The 12,649-nt window shown below is 43.7% G+C and overlaps 1 protein-coding gene across 20 annotated transcripts in view; it reads left to right on the forward strand.

The window, feature by feature from the left end:
• SPAG16 (sperm associated antigen 16) overlaps positions 1–12,649 on the forward strand; it is a 1,126,038-nt gene that overhangs the window by 178,245 nt on the left and 935,144 nt on the right. The window contains exon 1 of one of the 20 annotated variants that reach the window (XM_024453140.2): positions 1,646–1,754. The exons of the other annotated variants lie outside the window; for them this stretch is intronic. Coding sequence (XP_024308908.1) covers positions 1,731–1,754 — 24 coding nt within the window. The 5' untranslated portion in view covers positions 1,646–1,730. Of the gene's footprint in view, positions 1–1,645; positions 1,755–12,649 lie in introns of those variants that run through there. 20 annotated transcript variants of the gene reach the window in all.

The raw sequence follows: 12,649 nt of genomic DNA on the forward strand, positions 1-12,649 counted from the left end.
CTGCCATGATTGTAAGTTTCCTGAGGCCTGCCTAGTGATGTGAAACTGTGAGTCAATTAAACCTCTTTCCTTTATAAATAACCCAGTCTCGGGTATTTCTTCATAGCAATGTGAGAATGGACTAATGGACTAATACAGTAAATCGGTACCACAGAGAGTGGGTGCTGCTATCAAGATACCCCAAAATGTGGAAGCTACTTTGGAACTGGGTAATAGGCAAAGGTTGAAACAGTTTGGAGGGCTCAGAAGAAGACACAAAGATTTGGGAAAGTTTGGAACTTGCTAGAGATTTATTGAATGGCTTTGACCAAAATGCTGATAGTAATGAAGTCCAGGCTGAGGTTGTCTGAGATGGAAATGAGGAACTTGTTGGGAACTGGAGTGAAGGTCACTCTTGCTATGCTTTAGCAAAGAGACTGGCAGTGTTTTGCTCCTGCCCTAGAGATCTGTGGAACTTTGAACTTGAGAGAGATGATTTAGGACATCTGGTGGAAGAAGTTTGTAAGCATCGAAGCATTAAAGAGGAAGTAGAACACAAAAGTTTGGAAAGTTTGCAGCCTGGCAGTGTGATAGAAAAGAAAAACCTATTTTCTGGGGAGAAATTCAAGCCAGCTGCAGAAATTTGCTTAAGTAACAAGGAGCTGAATGTTAATCACCAAGACAATGGAGAAAACATCCTCAGGGCATGTCAGAGACAGTCTTGGCAGCCCCTCCCATTACAGGCCAGGAGCTCTAGAAGGAAACATGGTTTCATTGACCGGGCCCAGGGCCCCTTGCTGTGTGCAGCCTAGGTCTTGGTGCCCTGCATCCAAGCTACTCCAGCTGTGGCTAAAAGGGGCCTAGGTACAGCTCAGGCTGTGGCCTCAGACAGTGCAAGCCCCAAGCCTTGGCAGCTTTCACATGGTGTGGAGCCTGCAGGTGAACAGAAGTCAAGAATTGTAGTTTGTGAACCTCTGCCTAGATTTCAGAGGATGTATGGAAATGCCTGGATGTCCAGGCAGAAGTTTGCTGCAGGGGCGGAGCCCTCATGGAGAAACTCTGCTAGGGGAGTGCAGAAGGGAAATGTGGGGTTGGAGCCCCCATACAGAGGCCCCACTGGTGTTGCAGTTTTTTTGCTTCTGTAGTTCAGCAAGTGCGAGGGAGTGGCTCCCAGCAGCTTCTTCACTCCCATAGCTCAGTGACCATCTGTTCCACAGTGGAATCTATTTCAGTGACCTTCACTGCCAAAGGAGTAAAAAGAAGTACAGCGTATGATCCCTCCCAATCTGGGCCTAGAGAGGGAGAAAGAAAAGGAAGAGTCCTTACTAGTACTAAGTCCCCTGGTTGAATAAAGGTGGCCTTGGTTCATGGGTTTGGGCCTTTGACATTTGTTTCCGTTCCTGCAGGAAATGGGCCAAAGAACTTACATGGTTAATCAAATCAAAGGTTACATGGTTAATCAAATCAGAGGTTTCTTGGTCTAGAAGGAAATCATTGGTGAGAAAAGGCTGTCCTTACGTCATTTCAAAGGGAATTAAACTCAGCTTCAAAGGGGTGTTTCTAAAACAGTAGTGCCATGGGCATGAGAGTAATCCAGGGGAGATGAGTCTCTTAAGAAAGTTTTCTGAAGTGCCTTTTGATAATATCATGTTTCTTTTCTGCCTTTCCCAAGGAATGTGGTCTCCAAGCACCATGAAGATGGTACTGTATACCTAGTGCCTTTGAGTCCCCCTGGGTGACAGCAACCTTGAATGAGAGGCTGTTATTGCCTGAAGGTACTTAGGGAGCCCAAAGTGAGGAATTATCTAATTAATTAGTACTTCTATCACCTCAGAGACTTTCTCTGTCAGACATGAAAATGCTTCTATCCAGTTAATGAAGGTATATACCCATACCAGGAGGTACTGGATGCCCCTTATCTTTGGAATATGGATGAAATCCATTTGCCAGTCTTCTCCCAGGTAGCCTCCCATTCTTTGGGCTCCAGCGGGGAGACACCATTGACTGGGGGGATTATTTTTAAGGCAAGCCTCACAAGCATTAATGACCTGTTTGACCATTTTTACCTGACAACAACCTTTGAGCCAGTTGGTAGGTTTTATCCTTTCCTACGTGGAAGGCTTGGTGAAAGATTTTAAGAACTTTCCATTGGCTGGAATTTGGTAGATGAAGTTTGCCATCCTCCAGTTGTAGCTGAAAGGTATATCCTTGAGAGGAGGCCCATTCTATTTCTGCAGGAGAGTACTGAGTTTTTGTTTCTTTTATGGAGCCCTCCCAGATTAGAGGGGCCTCAAGTGGATCAGAAATCTGGGGTACTCTAACTGCCAATTTAGCTGCTTGATCTACCAGTTTATTTCCCTCAGCAATTTCATCTATCTCCTTTTGGTGGCCTTTACAATGTATTATGCCACTTCCCGTGGAAGGAAAACCAAGGATAATAGTCTGTTAATTTCCCGATGGTACTTAATGAGAGACCTATTAGCTGTGAGGAAGTCTGTCTCTTCCAGATCATGGCATGGGCATCGAGGATTGCAAAAGCATACTTAGAATCAGTATAAATGTTAACTGCTTTCCCTTTGCTTAAATGCCCCCATGAGGGCATTTAACTCAGCTAGTTGAGCACTTGCACCCGAGAAAACAGGTGCACTCACAATAGTGTCATTCAGGATGACTACTGTGTATTCTCCTTTATCCCTTGTTCTACAAAAGAAATTCTGTCTGTAAAGAGAGTCCATTCTGCATCCTCTAAGGGGTTTTTTTGAGGTCCTCTCTGGCTGCATAGGTTTGCACTACTATCTGTTCACAGTCATGTTCAGGCTTCCCAAGTTTCTCTGGGAGGGAGGTGGCTGGGTTTAGGAGAGCCAGATTCTTAACTGAACTGTAGATTCCTCCAATAGCAGAGCTTGATATTTGAGGAGGCAATTGTTTGTTAGCCAGAGACTCCCCTTAGAAGACAGCAGTCCTGCCAGGTTTTGTGGGGTATAAATGGCTAAGTTCTTCCCCATGATTAACTTAGTAGCCTCTGGCACCAGCTAAGCTACCGCTGCAACTGCCCAGAGGCAGGCCAGTCATCCTTTAGCCACTAAATCAAGTTCCTTGCTCAAGTAGCCCATGGGCTGTTGGGGTGGGCCTCAGACTGAGGATAGAACTCTGTGATGATTAATATTGAGTGTCAACTTGATTGGGTTGAAGTATGCAAAGTATTGTTCCTGGGTGTGTGTTTGATGGTGTTGCTAAAGGATATTAACATTTGAGTCAATGGACTGGGAAAGGCAGACCCACCCTCAATCTGGGTGGGCACAATCTAATAAGCTGCCAGCATGGCTAGAATAAAAGCAGACAGAAGAATGGAAAAGACTGACTGGCTTAGTCTCACAGCCTAAATCTTTCTCCTGTGCTGGATGCTTCCTACCCTTGAACATTGGACTCCAAGTTCTTCAACTCTGGGACTCAGGGACTCAGACTGGCTTCCTTTCTTCTCAGCTTGCAGACAGCCTACTGTGGGACCTCACTTTGTGATTGTGTGAGCCAATACTCCTTAATAAAGTCCCCTTTATATATACATCTATCCTATTAGTTCTGTCCCTCTAGAGAACCCTGACTAATACACCTTCCTCACTGATACATAAAGATTTAACATCTTCCCTATGGGAAGACTAAGGGCTTGTGCCTCAAGCAAGGCTTGTTTCAATTGGTGAAAGGCCCTTTTAATATTTGGTTCCCCAATTATGGAGTGAGTCTTAGCTGCCTGAGTTTCTTTCATTAGGTGATATAAGGGATGAGCTATCTCACTGTGCCCAGGTGTCCATAATCTGCAGAATCATGTAATGCCCAAGAACCCCCTCAGTTGTTTGAGGGTTTGAGGAGGGGAAAGTAGGAGATGGGCTTAATCCTTTATTCACCTGTTGCCCTGGTCTCCTCTGACAAGAGTAGACCTAGATACTTCACTGAAGTCTGACAGAGCTGAGTCTTAGATTTTGAGATCTTATGTCCTCTGTTACCCTGAAAGTTAAGAAGAGGCTTACTGCCTTCCTGAGTGATTTCCTCAGTTAGGGCACAACAGATAATGTCATCTACATATTGTAAAATTTTAACCTGAGGATAAAGGAACTCAGAGAGACCCCTTGACAACACTTTACCAAACAGGTGGGGGCTGTCTCAGAATCCCTGAAGTACACCATCCAGGTTAGCTGGGTGGTCTGGTTGGAGGGATCCTCAAATGCAAACAAATATTGAGAGGCAGGGTATAGTGGTATGTAGAAAAAGGCATTCTTTAGTTCCAGGACTGTGAGCCCTTTAGTTCCCTCAGGTATTTGAGTTAGCAAAGTATAGGGATTGAGAACCACCAGATATATCGGAACCACAGCCTCATTTATGAGGTGGAGGTCCTGGAGCAGTCTGCATTCCCATTTGGATTTCTGTGCTCCCAATATTGGGGTATTACAAGGGCTGTTGCAGGGTTTGAGGAGGCCTGCCTCTTCAAGTTATCAATGATGGCTTCTAGCCCTTTCCTAGCTTCTGGTTTTAGGGCTCACTAAACTAGCTTCTGGTTAGTGAAGCAGGTGGGATCCTAAAGGTGGAGTTGGACCAGTATGGTGGTTGTGGCTTGATCAATTTTCCCTTGAGCTGCCAAAACTTCTGGATTAGTATTAGTCTGCACCAGTGGGAGACAAAGAGCCTGCCTTGGAGCCATAAGGATGGTAGTTCCCTTATGAGGTAAAATATCCCTATGTAGCAGAGGAGTTGGCCTCCTGGCATGATTTAAAAGGCACGAGTAAGCAAGAGGTTTCCCCAACTGCAAGTGAGTGGTTGGGAAAAATATCAGGTTAAAGTTTTTCTTGAGATGCCCCTCATAGGCATGCTAAGGGAGGAGGGGAGGCCTGGACTGGAGAGGAGAACAGAAATGGCTGTGCTGGTATCCAAGAGGAGGTTCACTTTCCTCTCTTCAACTTTCAGAGTCACTTGGGGCTCCTGAATGGCAATGACATTTTGAGTTATTGGAGCCAGGGAGAGAAGCCCAAGGACTCCTCAGTCCTGCTGGACCATTTGTGAGTCTGGCTCTGGACTCAGTGACCTGCATCTCTGGGGACAGTCCACCCTCCAATGGTTCCCTCCAGAGATTGGACAGGGTCAAGGTGGCTTCCTCATGCTGCCTGGGCAGTTGTTAAGGTGCCCTGGCTTGCCACATTTGTAGGAGTTATCAGGTGCATCTCAGGGATTCTGGGTTTTTAAGCCTGCAAGGCAGCTATTAGAGACTGTACCTTTTTTCTTGTGTCTCCTCTCTCTCTCTTCAGTCTCCTCCTGATCCCTGTTGTAAAAGACCAAAGTAGCCACTTTCAGGAGGTTCTCTAAAGTGCTATCTTGTCCCATGGCCTGCTTCTGCAGCTTCCTCCTGATACCAGGGGCTGCCTCCTAAACTTACTCTTTAGGATTAGTTGTCCCTCAAATGAATTAGGGGATAGAGAGGTGTACCAAGGCTTCTCTTAGCCTCTCCAGAAAGGAAATGGGTCATCTGATCCCTGGTCTATCATGGATAGTTTGGAGTAATTGAGAGGCTTAGTTTTAGTCCTTCATAAGCAACCAATATGCACATCTGAAAGTGTTTCCTCCTCTATTCTCCCATGTTGTATTAGTCAGGGCTCTCTAGAGGGACAGAACTAATAGGAGATATATATATATATCTCTCTCTATATATATAGATATATATATATATATCTATGTATTTATGTACAGATATATATATATCTATGTATTTATATATAGATATATATATCTCTATGTATTTATATATAGATATATATATGTATTTATATATAGATATATATATATCTATGTATTTATATATAGATATATATATATGTATTTATATATAGAGATATATATATCTATGTATTTATATATAGAGATATATATATCTATGTATTTATATATAGAGATATATATAAAATAATATCTCCTATATCTCCTATTGTGTGTGTGTGTGTATATATATGTGTGTGTATATGTGTGTATATATATATCTGTGTATATATATGTGTATATATATATCTCCTACATATATATCATATATATATATGGGAATTTATTAAGTATTAACTTACAAAATCACAAGGTCTCACAACAGGCCATCTGCAAGCTGTGGAGCAAGGAGAGCCAGTTCAAGTCCCAAAACTGAAAAATTTGGAGTCTGATGTTCCAGAGCAGGAAGCATTCAGCATAGGAGAAAGATGTAGGCTGGGAGGCTAGGCCATCTGGTCTTTTCACAATTTTCTGTCTGCTTTATATTATAGCCACACTGGCAGCTGATTAGATTGTGCCCACCCAGATCAAGGGTGGATCTGTCTTTTCCAGCCCACTGATTCAAATGTTAATGTTCTTTGGCAACACCCTCACAGACACACCCAGGATCAATACTTTGCATCCCTCAATCCAATCAAGTTGACAGTCATTATTAACCATCACAAGTCAACCCCTTGTCAACTTGAACCCATACACATGTCCTGAGATTATACATAATCAAATAAAGACAACAATAAGGTAATAATTACACCTAACATAATAAAACTATCCTTTGTACATCAGGAAACGCACCAATCCCCAACCCAAATACTATTACATAAAGTTAATAATACTTAAATGCTGAGGTGAAGTCAATAAATCTTATGTCACATGATAGAGGGGAAAGGAAATAAAATGAAGATGTTTTCTTAGTACAGGTGTATACATGCACAAACATGTTTTTAATGAAAGAAGGAGGAAATACTTATGACAATTACAGTCCTCATTTCTGCAGCTGGTCATGTGGTCATAGCTGGTATTGATGACTACCTTCTTCAACTACCCATTCTGTATTCCCTTTGCCTTCAGCAAGCACCTCAGCAGGTTTTTTTTTTTTTTTTTTTTTTTTTTCCTGGTGGAATGACCCAAGCCTTCATTCCTGAAGGGTCTGGGTCATTTGTAGTCCCACCTGGGTTGGGGTGTTGCAGTTTCCCATTGACATTAATCACAGGGCATGGTAATACTGTGAGATGCCCTAATGGATCTCCTATATTCCACGTATACTGTTCCTTACCTTTGTTGTGGAGTAGTAGACTGATTTCATCTTGATAGTCCAGGTCAATCACATCAGCCAACGCTGTAACTCCCTTCTTAACCTGTTGTCTTAAAGGTAGGAGGAGCCCAAAGTGTCCAGGTGGCAATCTTAACATCCAGTTTAATGAATCATTGTTGTGTCTCCTGGTGGAAGCATTCCCCTCTCTAGAACTAAGACTTCTAGACTAGTAGAATGTAATGCCATGGGAACAGGAAGCAAGAATTTTGCTAGTGTATCACTAGAAGTGATGGTGAGTGGTGCCACTTCCACTTCCACCCCTTGATTCCTGGACCTGTGAATCCTGTCTATGGGAGAAACAGTACCATATATTGGATGCTGATTCAGAACATGCATGGCCTTCTGGAGAACTTTGCCTCATCCAAGCGAAGTATTATCACCTAGTTGGCATTGTAATTGTGACTTCAAAAGGCCATTGCACAGTTTTTATCAGTCCAGCTGCTTCAGGATGATGGGGAACATGATAAGACCAGTGAATTCCATAAGCATGATCCCACTGCCCCACTTTTTTAGCTGTAAAGTGAGTGCCTTGGTCAGAGGCAATGCTGTGTGGAATAACATGATGATGGATAAGGCATTCTGTGAGTCCATGGATGGTAGTCTTGGCAGGAGCATTGTGGGCAGGATACACAAACCCATATCCGGAGTAAGTGTGTATTCCACTGGGCACAAATCTCTGCCCCTTCCTTGATGGAAGAGGTTCAGTATAATCAACCTGCTACCAGGTAGCTGGTTGATCACCCTGAGGAATGGTGCCATATTGTGGGCTCAGTGTTGGTCTCTGCTGCTGGCAAATTGGGCACTCAGCAGTGCCCATAGCCAGGTCAGCCTTGGTGAGTGAAAATCCATGTTGCTGAGCCCATGCATAACCTCCAATCCTCCCATCATGGCCACTTTTCTCATGGGCCCATTGGGCCATGACAGGCTTGGCTGGGGAAAGAGGCTGAGTGGTGTCCACAGAACGGGTCATCCTATCCACTTGATTATTAAAATCCTCCTGTGCTGAGGTTACCCATAGGTGAGCACTCACATGGGATACAAATATCTTCACAGTTTTGACCACTTAGAGAGGTCCATCCACATATCTCTGCCCCAAATTTCTTTGTCACCAATTTTCCAATCATGCTGCTTCCACATCCCTGATCATCAAGCCAAACCATTGGCTACAGTTCACGAATCAGCATATAATCACACATCTGGCCATTTCTCTATCCATGCAAAGTGCACAACCAGGTGCACTGCTCAAAGTTCTGCCTACTGGGAAGAATTCCCTTTACCACTGTCCTTCAGGGATGTCCTAAAAAGGGGCTGTACTGCTGCAGCTGTCTACTTTTGGGTGGTACCTGTATATTGTGCAGAACCATCTGTGAACCAGGACTTAATCTTCTCTTCCTCTTTCAACTGATCATAGGTAACTCCCCATGAAGCCATCAGTGCAGGCTGGGGAAGAGAAGGTACGGAGGCAGGAGGGGAGCATTTGAGCCACTTCCTCAAGTAACTTACTTTTGCCTTCAGAACCTGCTTGAGCCCAATCACGTATATACCACTTCCATTTGATGATGGAATGCTGCTGTGCGTGCCCCACTTTATGACTAGATGGGTCAGAAAGCACCCAGTTCATGATAGGCAGTTCAGGTCACATGGTGACTTGATGACCCATAGTCAAACGTTCAGTTTCCACCAAAGCCCAGTAACAGACCAACATCTGTCTCTCAAAAGGAGAGTAGTTATCTGCAGAAGATGGCAGGGCCTGCTCCAAAATTTTAGAGGCCTCTGCTGTGATTCACCTATGGGGGCCTGCCAGAGGCTCTGATCAGCATCCCTATCTGCCGCTGTCACCTCAAGCACTATTGAATTTGCTGGGTCATATGGCCCAAGTGGCAGAGCAGCTTGCACAGCATCCTTGATCTGTTGCAGAGCCTTCTCCTGTTCTGGAGCCCACTCAAAACTGGCAGCCTTTTGGGTAACTCGATGAATAGGCCACAGTAACACACCCATATGAGGAATGTCTTGCCTGCAAAATCCAAATAGGCCCACTAGGCATTGTGCCTCTTTCTTGGTTGTAGGTGGGGTCAAATTCAGCAACTTATCCTTCACCTTAGAAGGAATGTCTTGAAAGATCCCACACAACTGGACCCCTAGAAAGTTTACTGAGGCAGAAGTTCCCTAAATTTTAGTCAGATTTATTTTCCATCTTCTGGCATGCAAATATATCACCAATAAGCCCTGTGTGTTTGCTACTTCTTGCTCACTGGATTTCATCAGTATAAGACATGAATGTAATGAACGAGTGTGACATCTTGTAGAAGTAAAAAGCGATCAAGGTGTCTCCGAAAAAGATTATGACACAAAGCTGGAGAGTTGATATACCCCTGAGGTAGGACAGTAAAGGTATATTGCTGGCCTTGCCAGTTGAAAGCAAATTGCTTCTAGTGGGCCTTATGGACAGGAATGGAGAAAAAGGCATTTGCCAACTCAATGGCTGCATACCAGATACCAGGAGATGTGTTAATTTTCTCAAGCAATAAAACCACATGTGGTACAGCAGCTGCAAATGGAGTCACCACTTGGTTAAGCTTTTGATAATCGACGATCATTCTCCAAGATCTATCTGTCTTCTGCATAGGCCTTATGGGAGAGTTGAACAGGAATGTGGTGGGAATCACCACCCCTGTGTCTTTTGAGTCCTTGATGGTGGCACTAATCTCCGCAGTCCCTCCAGGGATATGGTATTGTTTTCAATTTACTATTTTTCTAGGTAGAGGCAGCTCTAATGACTTCCATTTGGCCTTTCCCACCATAATAGCCCTCACCTTACCTGTCAGAGAGCCAATGTGAGAGTTCTGCCAGCCTGCTAAGTATGTCTATGCCAATTATGTGTTCTAGCACTGGAGGAATAATCACAGGATGCACCACAATTCAGACCTGAGCTAAAACTCCATTAGTTACCTGACCTCCATAACCCCCTACTTTAACTGGAGGACCACAGTGACATTTTGGGTCCCTAAGAATCAATGTCAGCTCAGAGGCAGTGACCATTAGTCCCCGAATTATCTGATCTTTTCCCTTCCTCCAATGCACAGTTACCCTAGTAAAATGCTGGAGGTTTCCTTGGGGAAGAATGGGAGAAAGATTAACAGCATAAATTGTCAGTAGTGTAGTGGTGTCCTTCCTCAAGAGGTCTTGGCTCCCCCTTCATTCAAAGGGTTCTGTGTCTGTAAACTGGCTCAAGTCTGGAATTTCACTGAGGGGCCATGATTCTCTGTTTTTATAATTCAAATTCATCTTTTGTCCCTTCTACGTAGAAGTTTTCTGCTTATATAAATTAAGTAGAAATACAGTAGGCTTCCTATCAATTTCACTTCCAGGAACTCCGTGATTAATTAGCCAATGCTAGAGCTCTACTTGAGTCAGACTATTCTGATTGCTTCTTTGTCTCTGCTATCCATTACGGTACCTATGCTCACCTTGCTTTTGATGGTTGAGTGTCGCCACTTGGTCCCTGCCATCTCAGGATCCAATTATTCCAATTGTGTTTAAATTTTGTAGATGAGAACTGCGGTTCCTACTATTAGATCTGACATACAGAGAAGAGCAATTACAGGGCTCTTCAAAGATGCGGGTGCTATCCTCACAAATCTATTTTGCAAGGCATTGGTCAAGTTATATCTTCTGGACCCTCTCAGCTAGGATGATTAGGTCTGAAGTGACTAATCCACTCCAGCATCCCAATCTCCCTAAGCCTTTGGATCCTTTCCTCTATATTAAACCAAGGGAGATCAGGCACAGTAGGCCATCTTTTAATCCATATTTCAGCTAACCAAGCAAATAAACTACTAGAACCTTTTTTACTCCCCAAGCTGCAATATTAAATTCAGAGTCCCTACTTAGTGGGCCCAAATCAATAAATTTAGCCTGATCCAACTCTATGTTTCTTCCACTATTATCCCACACCCTTAATATCCATTCCCATGCCTGTTCTCCAGATTTCTGTTTATATAAATTAGAAAACTCAAGCAGTTATTTTCGAGTGTAGTACACCTCCTCGTGGTCACACTCTCAACCTCATCTCTAGGGGCCTGCCGGGACTTTAGTCTAGTTATAGATCTAGAAGCAAACAGGTGTTGGGTGTGGCTCCTGAGAAGAATCAACATTATCTTTCCTGGCAACTGCCTCAGGGGAAGTCATCACTGTTGCTTCAGGCAGCACAGGGTTTATCTCCTCAGACAAAGGTGGAAAGGCTGATGGCAGCATGGGTTGGGGAGGGGCTGTTGCCACTACTGGGCATGGGGATGCTTTTCCTTCTGGCAAAAAAGTTTCATCAGAGTTTACAAACTCAGTGTCCCCATCTTCATCAGCATCCTTCCACATGTTCCCATTCCAAGTTGCAGGGTCCCATTCTTTTCCAATCAATGCCCTCACTTTAATGGTAGACACCTGGAAAGGCTGCACATGCACTTTTTGTTGTAGGTTAGCCACTCACATGATAAGAGCTTCTGTCTTTTTTTCCACAATTTCAGCTCGTTCTCTACAGGAGATAGGTCTCTCAGGGAAACCTTGGCAGATTTGAGGCTCAGTATCTGCTTCTGAAGTTGGGAGATAGAATCCCTGGGTTCCTCATTTTCTTTCATCACTTTGTCTACTGAACTTAGGAGCAACCAACCAGCTTTATTACATTCCCCACATATGGTCAAAGGTATTATATATATAGTCACTTAACTCCTTGCCTCTCATGTTTGGTGACTCAGGAGTGTCAAATGCATTTATTTTGTGTATCTCTATAAGCAGTTCACACCAAGGACTGTCAGTGTTCTCCATACTATTAGAAGTAGAGTCCTTAGCATTTTTGAGTCTAATCATATTAAGCAGCCAACTCCAGAAACCCTAAAACCAATGAAAGAACTCTATCCTTAATATTCTGTTCCTCTAGAACCACTCCTGGTACCAAAATCTGTATTAGCCAGGGTTCTCTAGAGGGACAGAACTAATAGGAGATATACTGGCAGCTGATTAGTTGGTGCCCACCCAGATTAAGAGTTGGTCTGATTTTCCCAGCCCACTGACTCAAATGTTAATCTCCTTTGGCAATACCCTCACAGACACACCCCAGATTAATACTTTGCCTCCTTCAATTCACTGAAGTTGACACTCAGTATTAACCATCACACATGTCATCATTGGGGTCCCATTTAGGGTCCTCCAATGGTACTGCTGTTTTTCCAATTGTATAAAGCTCTTCCCCTTGCTTGGCACTATATGAGGTACAAAGCTCATCCCCAAATTTCTCTGCCACTTGCAGGGCTGTCTGCTTCTCAGCGGTAGTCAGGATTCGATTCCAAAGTAACATTACATCCTTCCAGGAGAGTTCAAATACTTGGGTTAAATTCTGGAAAGCCTCTATATAACTGTCCGGGTCATCTGAAAACCTGCCAAGATCCCCCTAAATTTGTCTTAAGTCCTGTAGAGTTCAGGAGACCTGTATCTTAATGGGTTATATTCACAAGGCATTTTCTATAGGGGCATGAGCAAGGCTTGGACCTGCCTAAAATGATTTTTAGG

The sequence above is a fragment of the Homo sapiens genome, chromosome 2 (genome assembly GCF_000001405.40).
Source record: "Homo sapiens chromosome 2, GRCh38.p14 Primary Assembly".
NCBI classification, from domain to species: Eukaryota; Metazoa; Chordata; class Mammalia; order Primates; family Hominidae; genus Homo; species Homo sapiens.